This window comes from Homo sapiens, chromosome 7 (assembly GCF_000001405.40).
Source record: "Homo sapiens chromosome 7, GRCh38.p14 Primary Assembly".
NCBI lineage: Eukaryota > Metazoa > Chordata > Mammalia > Primates > Hominidae > Homo > Homo sapiens.
This window is the reverse complement of record NC_000007.14, coordinates 111,828,132-111,843,478: the sequence shown is the minus strand read 5'-3', so window position 1 is coordinate 111,843,478 and position 15,347 is coordinate 111,828,132. Positions and strand designations below refer to the sequence as shown.

The following is a 15,347-nucleotide window of genomic DNA, read 5'->3' as shown; positions in this document are numbered from 1 at the left end:
ATGCTGAGCAACTTTTCACATACTTATTTGCCATCTATATATCCTCTTCAGTGAAATGTCTTTTCATGTCTTTTTGCCATTTTTTACACTGGATTGTTTTTTCACTGTTGAGTTTTTATTTCTTTTTATAATATGTGGTTTGCAGGTATCTTCTCCTACTCTGTAGCTTGTTTTTTCATCCTCTTAACAAGCTTTGCAGAGCAAAAATTTTTAATTTCATTTAAGTCCAGTTTATTAATTTCCTTTTATAGTTCAAGCTTTTGACTCTTTTTGCCTAGCCCTGTATCTTAAATGTTATCTCCTAGTTTCTTTCCTAAAAGTAGTATAGTTTTATATTTTACATGTAAGTCCCTTAACCATTTTGTATGTGTCAGATAATTCTAACAATCTGACGTTGCAGTGTGGACATCTATTGATTGTCTTTTTCATTCAATTTGAGGTTTTCTTAGTTCTTGATAGGATGTGTTATTTTCTCTTATGACCAAGACATTTCTATATTATAAAGCTCTGGATCTTACATAAACCTTCTGTTTTAGCTGGCTTTGTGTGATACCACTCATCAGGGGAACAGTGCCTACATGTTATGGTGAGACAGTGATAGAAATCCAGGTTCGCCACTTGGTTTCCTTTGACAGCTGAGGCAAGAGGGCTTCTTGTTACTGCTGGGTGAGGTGGAAGTTCTGGCTCTGCATGTGGTCTCTACTGCCAGTGTGGTGGGAGTGGCTTTGTTACTGCTGGGCCATGGTGACCGTCCTGACTCTCTACTAGGCCTCTTTGACACCACCCCAGTGGGGAGGGAAAAAATGTGACTTGTTACTGCCAGTTGTGGGTGGAAGCCCAGGCTCCTCCCATTGTTTTCACCAACACTGACTCGTGGGTATGAAAGTACCTGCTCCCTGTTTGACCTTCTCTGGCTCCACTCTAGGAGAGATGTTGGGACACCTCACTACATCCTCATGAGGGTGGAAGTCTAGGCTCCTCACTCAGCCTTTGCAGTGAACAGGTGACTGAGGACAAAGTTTTCTGTGGTGTTCAGCTAGAATAGAGCAACTGCGGCTAAAAGCATTGCCCTGCAGGGCTGCCCTTTCCTAGTCCTTTGGCTGGAGAAATAAGGTTTTTTGGGACTTTTTCTTTTGTCTACCAACTATTGGTCTTTCACAGTTGCTGGCCTCTTCAGCCCCATCTTTGAAATATACGAGGCAAAAAAGAAAATCCAAAGAAATCTACACCGTGCCCTTGCTCAGGTCCCAAGGAGGTTCTTGGCCAGTCTGCCCTCTCTCCCCTCCTGTCAGAGTCTTTTTCTGTTTGTTTTATATTTGATGTTCAGGTTTTTAGTTGTACTTAGCAGGAGGAATAGGGGAGAAGTATGGCTACACTTTCAACGTGGAAGAGGAAGGATGTCTCCTTCACTGTGGTTTTGATGGTGACATTTTAATTGCTTCCTGGCAATATAACTTACATAGTTTGAAAGTTATAATGGCAAGCAAACAAAGTCATAGCAAATGCTGGGCATAGTTAAAGATTGCCTGAGATCAGAAGCTAAAACACTTTTTAAACTGCTTTCTATCGACGTGCAGAGCGTACAAGGTTGTTGTGCACCAAATCTCTATGGGATACATGTGGTCTTCAGGCCATACAGTGTAATAAGTAATGCCAATTACGAGACTTCAGGAAGTCAGTGAATCAGGTCTGTGGGTGGAGGTGGGGTAGGGCAGGCAGAGTGATTGTCCTGTGTACTAAATTATAAGAAAATCACATGAAGAGAATCCTTCCTGCATAGCTCTGTGGTACCCCTTGCTGTGTGAGAAACCAGACTGTCCAGGTGTGTGGGGTGAAATTTTCCATGAAACACACACATAAATTATTTGACATCTTTGCTTTTATGCTTTAAGACTTTTTTTTTTAAGAGTACTCAGACAGACCTAGCTTGATTCCTTCTCTGTCATTGCACTGACTCTGTGATGTTGGTCAAGTTACTAATGTCTCTAAGCCTCTGTTTCTTTAAAACAGAGAAAATAGGCCAGGCGCGGTGTCTTATGCCTGTAATCCCAGCATTTTGGGAGGCCAAGGCGGGCGTATTGCTTGAGGCAGAGGTTTGAGACCAGCCTGGCCAACATCTTGAAACCCCCACTAAAAATACAAAAAAATTAGCCAGGCCTGTTGGTGGGTACCTGTAACCCCAGCTACTCAGGAGACTGAGGCCCAAAAATGGCTTGAACCCAGGAGATGGAGGTTGCAGTGAGCCGAGATCATACCACTGCACTCCAGCCTAGGTGACAGAGTGAGACCCTGTCTCATAAATAAATAAATAAATAAATAAATAAATCAGAGAAAATAGTTGTACTTATCTCAAAGTTAGTGTGAGGATTTCATCAAATCTGTAAAGGTGTTTAAACAGTATCTGGTCTGATACTCAATAAATGCTGACCGTTAGTCATTGTGGTAGCAGCAGAAGTCACAGTCATATCATGATTGTTGCAGACGTGCTTCAGGTATTGTTGTTGTTATAATAATTCTATGGCGAGAAATATGCCCTGGTCTTGTCTTTCACAAAATCCATTCTCTGGAGACTGAAGATCTGTTGAATTTCTTTATCATTTTCTCACAGAGAACAGGCTTTCTGAATAGGGAGTCTTCACATGGCAGTACTACATTGAGCACCTTTTCAGTCTGTGCAGACACATATGGAAAAGTGCCCATGACAAGTAGACACACTGTGAGTAAACGCAGATCCCACAATGTGCCATTGTGAATTCTTCCAGTGCTCTGTAAGCACCATGATTGTTACCCAGCCTCCCAGCCACACCAGCATGAGCACTGGCGTCTGCTGTATCATAGTTCCAGATAACAGAGGCCTTATTTTTAAAATTTAAAAGGATTGTACTTTTTGTTTTTCCACCGACTGTTTTTTGAACTTTAAAATGCTTTCCCTAGCTAGAAAAAAAAAACAAAAAAGCACCATTGTGATCAGTTCCTTTCAAAAGTCTAATTATAGGTAGAAGCAGATTTTATAAAGCAGTATGAATGACCACTTGCCTTGCATTCTCGACTAATGGAGCTCCAGAGTTCCTTACAATTTATAAATGCTTACTCGTTCGTAACTCTGTTAAATAACATTTACGGAGCATGTGATTCTTCTGGGCATAGGCCAGGTCTAAGACAGCTACTCTGATGTGTTTATCTAAAATTTTCATGTGATGTCGGTTTGTGGTGGGGTATGGAAATGGGCCTGGGTTAATTCTGTAAGAAATATGTGGAAAAAAATAATGTATGTGTATAATAGGTTTCGTGAAGACAGTTGTAGCCATCCAATACCCTTGCTATACACAGTCATTTGTAGAAATTCCCATTATACTCAATCTATACATAAAATGGCCACTGAAGACTACAGAGTTTTCAAGGTGATTTATACAAAAGAAAGTTTCACACTGCAGCTAAGTACATCTTGGCCACTGATGGCTTTTTATTTCTTTTTAATAAATTATGAGTCTAGGATTTTCATACAGATACATTCTTAAAATATCTTAAAAACAAAGAAAATTACATTATGGATAAAATATACATTAGTAATTGGAAGTCACCGCTAAAAGACTTACTCATGTAACCAAATACCACCTGTTTCCCCAAAAACCTATGGAAATAAAAAATTTAAAAAATTAATTAAAATTTAAGTTTAAGAAATAGAGCAAAAAAATTACATTATGGATAAAATATACATTAGTAATTGGACATCTAGGCCTCCTAACAGAGTTGAATGTGGTTGGAGTTCCTAAACAGCATAAGTGAATAAATGACATTGTAGAGTAGATGTTGGGATTGACAATAATCATCATAAATGCCCAAGGGATTATATGTCATGATTATAAGTTATTGCAATGGGCATAAGTCAGATATGACAAAATCATAAATCTGGATTCAAACAGGTTGTTCCCCTATGTATATTGACTGTAAAGGCTTAAGATGAAAGTCTATTCCTTATTGCATAATATTTCTTGTTACTACTAAATTTGCAAATAATATGTCATTTTTCCCACTTCAGCATATTTCACTATTCACAGGATTGTGTGTTGAAGTAAATGTCTTAGGAAAATTAATCTAGTAGCTGTAATGGAGACAATGTGAATATGATATGGAAAAACTAAGAGATGGAAAAGAGATGAATGGATTTCTACTAACTAGATTTGCATTTTTAAGTCAAGGCATAGTTAAGAGAAAGGTAAAAAAGTATGAACCTTAGTTATCAACTGATGAATTCAAGTATACTTACTGATATTGTAATTATAACCAAAAACCTCAGGTGTATTTTCTCTATACAATCAAATAGTCTGAGCAGAAGGAAGATGAGTCACTGAGTACAGACTTCTAGAACCAGGGATACCTGGGTTCACATCCCAGTCTCACAATTCTCAAGCTGTGGAACCTGGGGTAAATTTCTGAACCTTAAGAGATAATTATCTTTTCTTTAAAGTGAAATTGATTGTGTCTACCCAACAAGGCCCAAACAAGGAATGAACTCAATAGCATAGTCAAAGTATGGTAATTTACACATAGTGCCATTCCATAAATCATAGTGTTGTCATATGTCTTTTTTATTTTATTGAGGTATAATTGACATAAAATAAATGACACCTGTTTGAAATGTACAATTTTAGTTTTGACATATGTGTATTCCTATGAAACATCACCACAATCAGGATAGCAAATACATTCATCACTTTCAAAAGCTTCCTTGTGCCCCTCTCGGTTCCCTCTCTTTTGCCCCTCCATGCTACCTCATCCCCAAGCAACTACTGACCTGCTTTTTGTAGTAACTTATCTATTACTGTACATAAGTTTACATTTTTTAGAATTTGATATGAATGGAATCATGTAGTACATAGCTATTATTATTAATCATATACTACATAGTTTTTTGGGGGGCATAGGGGCAGGGGATTCTGTCTTGACACAATATATTTGAGTTTCATCCTTATTCTTTTGTATATCAATAGTTTATTCCTTCTTATTGCTGAATAGTATTCCATTGTATGGATATACTGCAGTTTGTTTATTCATTCACCTCTTGGTAGACATTTGAGTTGTTCCTGGGTTTGGCTATTGTGTTCCATTTACCTGTTTTTCTGTTTTGACACCAGTAACATACTATCTTGATTGTCATGTTTTATAATAAATCTTAAAGTCAGTAAGTGTAAGTCTTCCAACTTTACTTTTCTTTTTCAAAGTTGTTTTGACTATTTTAGATCCTTTTCACTCCTTATGGATTTTAAAGTTAGATCAGCCTTTCAATTTCTAATCCCCAAAGCTATGCTAGGATAATTACTGGGATTGCATTGAATCTATATATCGATTTGGGGATAATTGACATCTTTTTTTTTTTTTTTTTTTTTTTTTTGAGGTAGGGTTTCGCTAATGTCACCCATGCTGGAATGCAGTGGTGCAATCTTGGCTCACTGCAACCTCCACCTCCTGGGTTCAAGCAATTCTCCTGCCTCAGCCTCCCAAGTAGCTGGGATTACAGGCTTGTGCCACTACACCCGGCTAATTTTGTATTTTTAGTAGAGCTCAGGTTTCACCATGTTGGCCAGGTTGGTCTCAAACTCCTGACCTCAGGTGACTCACCCGCCTCAGCCTCCCAAAGTACTGGGATTATAGGCATGAGCCACCACGCCCAGCCAAAATTGACATCTTAACAATATTGCATTTCCCAATCCATGAACATGTAATATCTTCATTTTTTTTAAGTATTTAACTCCACCCCTCAGTGTTTTGCAGCCTTCAGTGTGCAGATTTTATACATCTTTTGTCAAATAGATCAGTAATTATTTCATATTTTAATGATATTATTTTAAATTTCAATTTCTGATTGTTCATTTTTAGTGTGTAGAAGTAAAATTTATTTTTGTACATTGATCTTATATTTTGGAATGTAAATAAACTCAATTAGTTCCAGTAGCTCTTTATCAATTTCATAGCTTTTTCTATATACACAGCTACGCTTTCTGTGAAGAAAGACAGCTTTTTAAAAATTCCTTTCAAACCTGTATTCCTGATTGCCTTTTCTTGCCTTATTGCACTGACTAAAACCTTCAGTACAATGTTGAATAGAGGTGGTGAATAAGCTTTGGGAGGTTTGAAAAGTCTTTATTTTGTCTTTGCTTTTGGAAGATATTTTTATATTTTATATTTTGGAAGATATTTTTCTTGGTTAATAGTTTTTGGGGTTTTTTTTCCTTTTAGTTCTCTGAAGCTGTTGCTCCGTTGTCTTTCAGCTTGTGTTCTTTCCAAGAGAAATCTTTTCTCATCTTTGTCTTTGTTCTTCTCTATGTAATGTGCCCCTTTTTTTTCTGAATAGTGTTTTAAGATTTTCTCTACCACTGGCTATAAGCAATTTGATTATGATGTGCCTTGGTGTAATTTTCTTCTTGTTTCTTGTGCTTGGGGTTTGTGGAGATTTTTTGATATACAGGTTTATAATTTTCAAAGAGTTTGAAAAAGTTTTTTTCTCATTTCTTCAATTATTTTTTCTGTCTCTTCCTTCTCTCTGAGACTTTCAGTTACATAGATATTCTGCTACTTGAAGTTGTCCTCCAGTTCACTGATGCTTTTTTCTGTTTTTCTTTTTATTTCAGTTTTTTCTGTCTATGCTTTATTTTGGAGAATTTCTACTGCCCTACCTTTCAAGTTCAATAATCTTTTCTTCTGCAGTGTCTAATCTGCCACTCGACCCATTCAATTAATATTCATCTCACAAATTGTAGCCTTCATCTCTAGAAGTTTAATTTGGGCTCTTTTTATGTCTTCCATGTCTCTAAATTAACATATTCAGTCTTTCCTCTAGCTTCCTGAAAAATTAGAATACAGTAATATAACTATGTTAATGTTCTTGTGTGGTAATTCTATTATCTATGTCATTTCTGGATCTGTTTCTATTGATATATTACTTTTTCTCCTCATTTGCGTCATTTTTTCCTTCTTCTTGACCTGCCTGGTGATTTTTCATTGCATGCCAGTTATTGTGAATTTTACATTGTTGACAGGTGGATTTTTTTAATTTCTAAAAAATATCTGAGCTTTGCTATAGAGTGAGGTTAAATTTATTGGAAACTATTTGATCATTTTAGGTCTTGCTTTTGAAATTTGTGAGGTAGGACCAGAACAGCATTACTCTAGGAGTAGTTTTTCTCCAGTACTAAGGAAACACTGTTTTTGGTACTCTAACTAATGCCTTATTAATTGTGAGGTTTTTCCAGTCTGGCTGGTATTAAAAAAAAAAAAAGGCTCTATTATTCCCAGTCCTGTGTGAGCACAAGGCACTGTTCTCTCAATCCTTCTAGATCATTCTTTTCCTAGTGTTGGGTTGGGTTACTACCTTACACACATATACAAAAATATTAATAATATTGCCTTTAAACTTTTTATTTCTTTTGTTAAATATCAAGGATTCCCATGTTCATTAACAAAGTATATGTTGAGCTTGAAGGATGTTTCTTCTGGCCCACACTGGTTAGTTTCTTGAATATTTACCCTAAAAAATGTATATAGATAATTATTTGTCATACCTGTGTGTTGCAAATGATTATCTGCAAACAGAGATCTAGCCTGAGTACCTGGTTGCCTTGACATGGTCTTTAAGTATTATAGCATCCTTGGGTCTCCCATGGCAGTGGGCGAGGATACATTGAATTTTCCTCACCCAGCTGCTTCTGTTGAAAAATTCCCTTCTCAGGGCTTTTAGTCTCTACTTATAAAGTCTGTAGTCTCTTTCCATGTAAAATCTAAGAAACCAGTTCCCAATTAAATTGCACTTCTGTAAATATACAGTTAGTTACCAGTGATTGCCTCTCCTATTGTATTTGTTTTGTTTTAAATGTTATTACTCTGTTTAAAAGTAGATAAATTCTTTGCTGAGCACAAAAGGTTGCATTGAAAATGCAAGCATTTTAAATTAGAAGTTCATTCAAAAATGCAAGTGATAGCAATTTTATGTAGGTCTTCAAATCCATAGATGCTATGTTTACTTTTTTATTGTTAATTTTTAAGAATTAGAATTTATGGTTACAAATCACATAGAGCCCAAGCACAAAAAGAATGGCCAATTAAAAAAATTGTTTTCAATCTTCCAAGACATCTGAATAAAACTATTTTTTAAAAGGAGATTGAAATGAACATTATGCAACATATGGCATTCATTATACCCTGTGAGTCAGCAGATCAACTCTCTGATGAGTTGGAGGAGGTCATTTGAATTCAAAAATGGAGCATGAAGCTACAGGAAGGGCTTTGGAGGCAGAAAGACTGGGGATAATGCCAGCTCTGCTACTTTCTAGCTGAGTGACTTGGGGCAAGTCATTTAGCACATCAGAAACTACATTTTACCTTCTTCAAAAAGGTATTATACCCCCTACCTCATAGTGTTGATATGAAGCTTAAATGTTAGAATTATTACAGACATGTTAAATGCTCAGTAAATGATCATAAACCCTCGGTGCCTTACCTTCTTTAAATGTGTGAAGTTAGTTCCCAAGTGAAAAGCTTCCACTCAAGTTAAAAAAAAAAATCCTCCCTAAAATTATAAATTTGTGAATACCAAGTAAATAAATGGTAATCATCATAGGGAGTTTTGGCTGTGACATTTTGGATAATTTATATTAAGAAGACTTCACAGGGCAAGTTTGGATCATCGTGATTTCATTTTAACCTATTCTCTTTGAGGACAGTTCAGTGTAAGTTACTGATGTTCTTTTACGTCCTTACTAAAAATAAAATGTATGCTTTTTTTTTTTTTAACTTAGGGGGAGTTTGTTGCTTGTCTCCTGTCCCTATTACGACAAATGACAGATAGACATTATCAACAGCTTCTTGATAGTTTTAATACAAAGGAAGAACTAAGGGTAAGTGACATTTTAAAATGTTTTCTTTAACATATCTTTTGGGTTTATCTTGTTTTTATTCATCACTGTTGAGATAAATCCTAGACAATTGCTTTACCTGTTTCCATTAAGTTCTAAGCTGTTTTTCTCAGCCTCATCCACAGATCTGCTCATCTATATTGGCTTTTAAAGATTTCTATTACTCAAGCAAAGCTATTAACTCTCATTTCAGAGAAGGATATAGGATGTGAAGTACCTGTCATCAAAGTTCAATAAACTAGAAGCAGAATAACAGAACTGAAGAGATAAAAACAAATAGATTAACTACGTGAACCTAGAAACATTGCCTTAATAGAAGATAAAAGAGAATATGTAAATATGTTCACTCATTTCATCTCACTAAAACCATAATGAGAAGTTCTGGCTACAACTTTTTGACTAGGGATACAGAGTTGTATTTGATATTCTCTATCAGCTATAGTCTAATCAATATGCTGTGCTACTCTGACAAGCTGACATTAAATAGGAAATAAGGATGCCAGGTTTATAAAAATCCAGTATTTGCTGAGATTCACAGAACTGTAATGCATCCTTCATGGTTTCACTAAATGCTTGATTATTCTTAGTTGGAGGAATGATATGATCTGTCATCTTCCTTATTTACTTTTATTTCTCTTCCATCTCTTCAGTTTTCTGGACAAATTTCATATGGAAACCATCATATTAGAATTGTTGCTTTTAAGCTGGGTGGTGGAGAATTATAGGACCAAAAGTACAGTTCTGCTATGACATTTGCTTGATTGGAAGCCTTCCCAGTGCCTTAGGGGAAGAAATTGTTGATTTTTTAATATAGATAGTACATAGGGGTCACTTATCTTTGACTTTAACTGGAAAATATTGTATGATCTCAGAAAAATCTTCCTGTTGTTACCTTAGAGAACTTGAAAAGCTGAGTCATATAAAACAAAGAATCATTTTTGGCAGATTTAATCCCTCAGCAGTCAGTCATTTGGCATATGGCATCATGTTTTTCATTCTTACATTGAATCTTTTTTCTTTTTTTTTTTGAGGCAGGGTTTTACTGTTACTCAGGCTGGAGTGCAGTAGTACAATCATGGCTCACTGCATCCTGAAACTCCTAGGCTCAGACAATCCTCCTGCCTCTGCTTCCCAAGTAGCTGTGACTACAGGCACATGCTACCACACTTAGCTAATTTTTAAAATTTTTTTGTAGAGGCAGGGTCTCACTATGTTGCCCAGGCTGGTCTCAAACTCCTGGCCTAAAGAAATCCTCCCATCTCAGCCTCCTAAAGTACTCAGATTACAGGCATGAGCCACCATGCCTGGCCTTACATTCAATCTTGAATTTAGAATTAAAAATGGATAAAAGGCCTTAGGACTTACCCACTCTGAGTACAAAAACCCATAATGTCAAAAGGAAGAGAACTGTGCATTTATTAACTTTCGTTAGAAGCTGTATTCTTAACACAGTTAAAGAATCATTAGGTTTTACTTAAGAAGTCTATGACTTCATATTTGAAAATTTCCCATAGGAAAAGCGTACATATTTTTATGGAGCCTGGGAATTAAAAAATAGCAGAGAAGCATAAACTGAAAGACATGACTAATTATCCAGGTGTTGAGTTTTATGCTTTGGTATTCATGTTAGCAGTAATAAAACAAATGGAAATAATGAATAAAATGTTTTATGTGGACTTTTCTCATTTCAGTCAGCCAATACACCTCTTCCAAGGACAATTATATTACCCTCTTTAAAATTACTGAGGCTGGCGGGGCGCCGTGGCTCAGGCCTGTAATCCCAGCACTTTGGGAGGCCGAGGTGGGTGGATCACCTGAGATCAAGGCCAGCTTGGCCAACATAGCAAAATCCCATCTCTACTAAAAATACAAAAATTAGCTGGGCATGGTGGCTCGTGCCTGTAGTCCCAGCTATTTGGGAGGCTGAGGTGGGAGAATCGCTTGAACCCAGGAGGCAGAGGTGGCAGTGAGCTGAGATCACACCACTGCACTCCAGCCTGGGCAACAGAGTGAGACTCCGTCTGAAAAAAAAAATAGCAAGGCCTTCTGACTAGGAGAATTATTTAATAATATTAATTACTTCATCTGCCATTCAGGAAGTGGATATTGAGCAACTCAAGCATGGCAAGCACTGTGCACCACGCACTAGGGATGTAACCAGGCACAAGATACCCTGTTCCTGTAGGGGAGTAATCAGGCAAATAATGGGCATGAGCACCCTGAGTGGTGAATGTTCAGGGTAAGCACGCGATGCTATGGAGCGTGTGGGAGGTGCTGCCAACCCAGACTCAAGGCAACAGGAAAACTTCCCAGGGGAGGTCTCAGCTGAGAACTGAGGTTAGTAGGAGTGTGCTAGATATATATTTGGCTGGAACATTCAGACCTCTCTATTAAAATATCACCTGAATGCCCCGACTGACACAGCACACTCTCTACCCCACCTTTATAATACTTATTGGAATCTGGAATATTTTTGTTTATTTGTTTATGTGTATTTCCCAGTTTATGTATATATCCCACTGGGCCATAAGCTCCTTGATATCTGAAGCTTTGTCTGGCTCACTGCTGTATCCTTAGATTCCAGACCATTCCTAGCACATAGCAGGCATTCAAGAAATAGTTGTTGATCATTTGATAGAATATAGAGTTTAAGGCTGTATGAATGAGTGTAGACTTTGTTTTGAGGACATTTTGAAGCTTGTGATTGTTTTAAGAAGGGAGAGATAAGATCTCATTTGAGGGAAGAAAGACCTGTCTGGTTGCACTATTGAAAATGCATTTGGCCAGACACGGTACCTCATGCCTGTAATTTGGGAGCACTTTGGGAGGCCAAGGCAGGAGGATCACTTGAGCCCAGGAGTTAGAGACCAGCCTGGGCAATATGGCAAGACCCTGTCGCTATAAAAAGTTTGTAAAAACTAGCTGGGTATGGTGGCACACATCTATAGTCCCAGCTACTCAAGAGGGTCAGATGGGAGTATCGCTTCAGCCAGGGAGGTGGAGGCTGCAGTGAGCTGTGATTGCACCACTCCTCTCCAACCTGGGCAACAGAGGGAGACCCTGTCTCTAAAAAAAAAAAAGAAAAAGGAAAGAAAAGAAAGAAAGGGGATTCACTGAAGTCAAGATGAGAGGCAGAACCCTGTAAAAGATTTTAGGTAGTAACCTAAGCTAGAAATGACTGTGGCTTGAAGTAGAGGCGATTGTGGAGATAGAGTCTAGGGACATTTAGGAAGTTGAATTGGCAGGACTTGATGACTGATAATATTAAAAAGGTGAAGGAGTGGGAGGAGTTGTAAGTGACTCCTAGGCCTTTTGACAATTGGCTGGGTGTTGGTGTGGTGCCATTCACTGCATGAGGATCCCAGGAGGAGTTAGGTATTCAGGTTTGGGAGCAAAGGTAAATTCGGTTTCAGCCTGAGTTTGGTCACCTGAGGGACATTCAGATGGAGATGTTTAGTAAATTGTGCCTGAAGTTCAGGAGAGAGAGAGATGGGTTATGGGATGTAGATCTGGAAACTGTCAGCCAGTGAATAATAACTGACATCATGGGAGTAAATGTGAACATCCAAGGAGAGTGTAGAGTATGAAGGTCAAAGGACCTACATAGAATCCTAAGCCTAAGGAGGGAGGCGTGATAAACAGTGCCTGCTACTGCAAGGAGGTCGAGTACCATCATGAAAGGTTCCCTAAATATTGTTGGTGAACCTGATGGGCAATTTCACTGATGAGGGTGAAAGCCAACTTGTCATGGATTGAAGAATAGAAAAAAAAAAAGGAAAATATACAGTGGATTGTATGCAGTGTTTCAAGAAGAAGAGGGATAAGTTTGGATGTGTAGACTTTGTTTTGATGAATACTTATGATGGAGGAGACTTAAGCATGTTTAAATATATTCATGATTACAGCTGGTGGAGAGGGAGAAGCTGGAAATCTAAGAAAGAGGTACTAACTTCCAGGGTGAGGTCTCTGAGAAGGCAGCAGGAAGGGACAGAATTATCCTTGACTGGGACTAAGATTCTTACACTTTCCCAGTCTAAGAATGAAAGAGAAATAACTGGAGTGAATGCAGGCTAGAGGACATTTATTTAATTTAGTAAAGGCTAATTAGTCATCTTGTTTTTTTTGTTTTGTTTTGTTTTGTTTTGAGAATGAGTCTCGCTCTGTCGCCCAGGCTGGAGTGCAGTGGCTCAATCTTGACTCACTGCAACCTCCGTCACCCAGGTTGACGCAATTCCTCTTCCTCAGCTTCTTGAGTAGCTGGGACTACAGGCACGCGCCACCACGCCCGGCGGATTTTTTGTATTTTAGTAGAGATGAGGTTTCACCATGTTGGCCAGGATGGTCTCGATCTCCTGACCTTGTGATCCGTCCACCTCAGCCTCCCTAGTCATCTTGTTTTAATCTGCATTTTAAAAGTTCATATATCACCTTATAAAAGATATTAATAAATGTTTCCTGTGCTCAATTTTGTTTAAAACCAAATATTTCTAGTTATGTTCCTGAACCTATATTGTAATATTTTCAAAGATAATAACACTTGTCCCTAGACCCTTATACAAAGTCCTTAGTACCAATTTTACTTCAGAAATCAGAATTTTTATGATTTCATAATGATAATGTACATATATAGCACCTCCAATAAAATCTAGAGTGATACAAAATATTCACTCCATATGGGATAAATAAAGACTATAAATCATTCTGGTCAGGTTTTGCTGCCAAGTGGATTATAAGGGCAAAAACTTTTAGAGTAATTTTGGGTTTTGATATCGTAGTAAAGGAAGTGAAGACCTCTAAACAGCAAGCATTTTATATGCAATTTAGTATGTATCAGGCACTGTTCTAAGCAGTTGCTTAATATTAACTAATTTTAATCCTTAAAAGGATCCCATGAAGTAGGCCCCCATTATTTTCTTACAGATATCAATTGTTGACTCAACAAACATTTATTGAGCATCTTGCTTAGACATTAGAGATATCAAGACTAATAAAAGCCTGTTGTTAAGGTCATCTAAATCATTCTTGTAAATAAATATAATATGTATAAACTGCAGTGATATTGGCTAACAGTTACGGAACACCTCCTCAACCCCATCCCACAGCCATGAGCCAGTTGTGGTGCTTAACCCACATTTCATCCTCTCCCTGCCTCCCCCGCCATGAGATTGACTGATGCTATTATTGTTCTCAAGTAATTGGGAGAACTAGGAATTCTATTAACATCCTGAGCTCATTGCTCAGGCAGCTAAACTCAGCTTTTCCCTAAACTTTAATAAACTTTCTTAAACCAAAATCTTTCCTATCAAATTATATAAAATTGTAATTGTCAGCTCTCTGAAGTTAATAAAGCAGTTCTAGTCATAGAATGGAGATATCTGAGAAAGGCCAGATTAATAGAAGGAGAGTTACTTGGGGTTTTGTATGTACATTTAGGTTAGAAAGTAAATAGGTAAAGTACAATTAATAGGGTGATATTTAATGGGAAATTATAAGTGATATTGAAATTAGACACCAAAAATTCCACATAACCCTACTGTTTTAAAAAGTGATAAAGTGTATTTACTCTCCTCCTAACCCCCAACGTATCCTAATCCCCAGAGGTAGCTGCTGTTAACATCTAAAGGTGTAACCTTGTAGATGATTTTGTATACTATATATATACATATATATATATATATATACACACACACACACACATTTTTAGTGTTAATATAATTATTTATATTGATGTATACTTTTTTACATGATAATATCTCATAGATATTATATAGCCCACTACCTTATTCTTCTGAATCTCATTATATGGATGCTACATAATTTAATCATTTCTGATTTTTGCCATTAGAATGGGTCTTGCAGTAAACATCTTGATACACCTCTTTCTGTGGACTTGTACCCATATTGCTGTAGAATAAATTCCTAGACGTGTAATTGTTGGGTCATAGGATGTACACATTTTACATTTTAATTGATACTTGATCAATTATATATTGAGATTTTCAAATGAATATTCATGTTGTTTTTTATTCCTAATGTTGCTTTTTCCTTTCTTTTTAACAGTTCAAAGAAAGGTAAAGTTTGTCTTAGCATTTCCCAGTGGTTCTATAAATCAAAATGAATTTTAAAAGTATGTGGCTCTCAAGTATCTACTAAGACTAAAGGTCTTTCAACTCCATTCATGCCTGAAGAGCCTGGATGCCTCCAGGGTTACTGCTGAAGTAGCTTCTGGCTTCCTGAGCAGTGTGCCACTTCTTCCCCTGTGTCCTTAGGTTCTTACTTGTGTGTGAGAGGCATGAGTCACAGTATCAGAACACAAGTATGTGGGAGCAAAGACCTGAGGGCTGGTACTCTGTATTGTTTTTTTCCTTCTCTAGAACATAATATTATTTTAAAATGAACAAAAGTAAACACTAGGTAGTGATCAAGATTTTTTTCCTC

General features: G+C 37.2%; 1 protein-coding gene across 14 annotated transcripts in view; it reads left to right on the top strand.

Moving 5' to 3' along the window:
- DOCK4 (dedicator of cytokinesis 4) overlaps positions 1-15,347 on the top strand; it is a 480,290-nt gene that overhangs the window by 362,921 nt on the left and 102,022 nt on the right. For all 14 annotated transcript variants that reach the window (XM_047421081.1, NM_014705.4, XM_006716189.3 and 11 more), the window contains exon 26: positions 8,793-8,891. In XM_047421081.1, the coding sequence (XP_047277037.1) occupies positions 8,793-8,891 (99 nt within the window). The remainder of the gene's footprint in view (positions 1-8,792; positions 8,892-15,347) is intronic.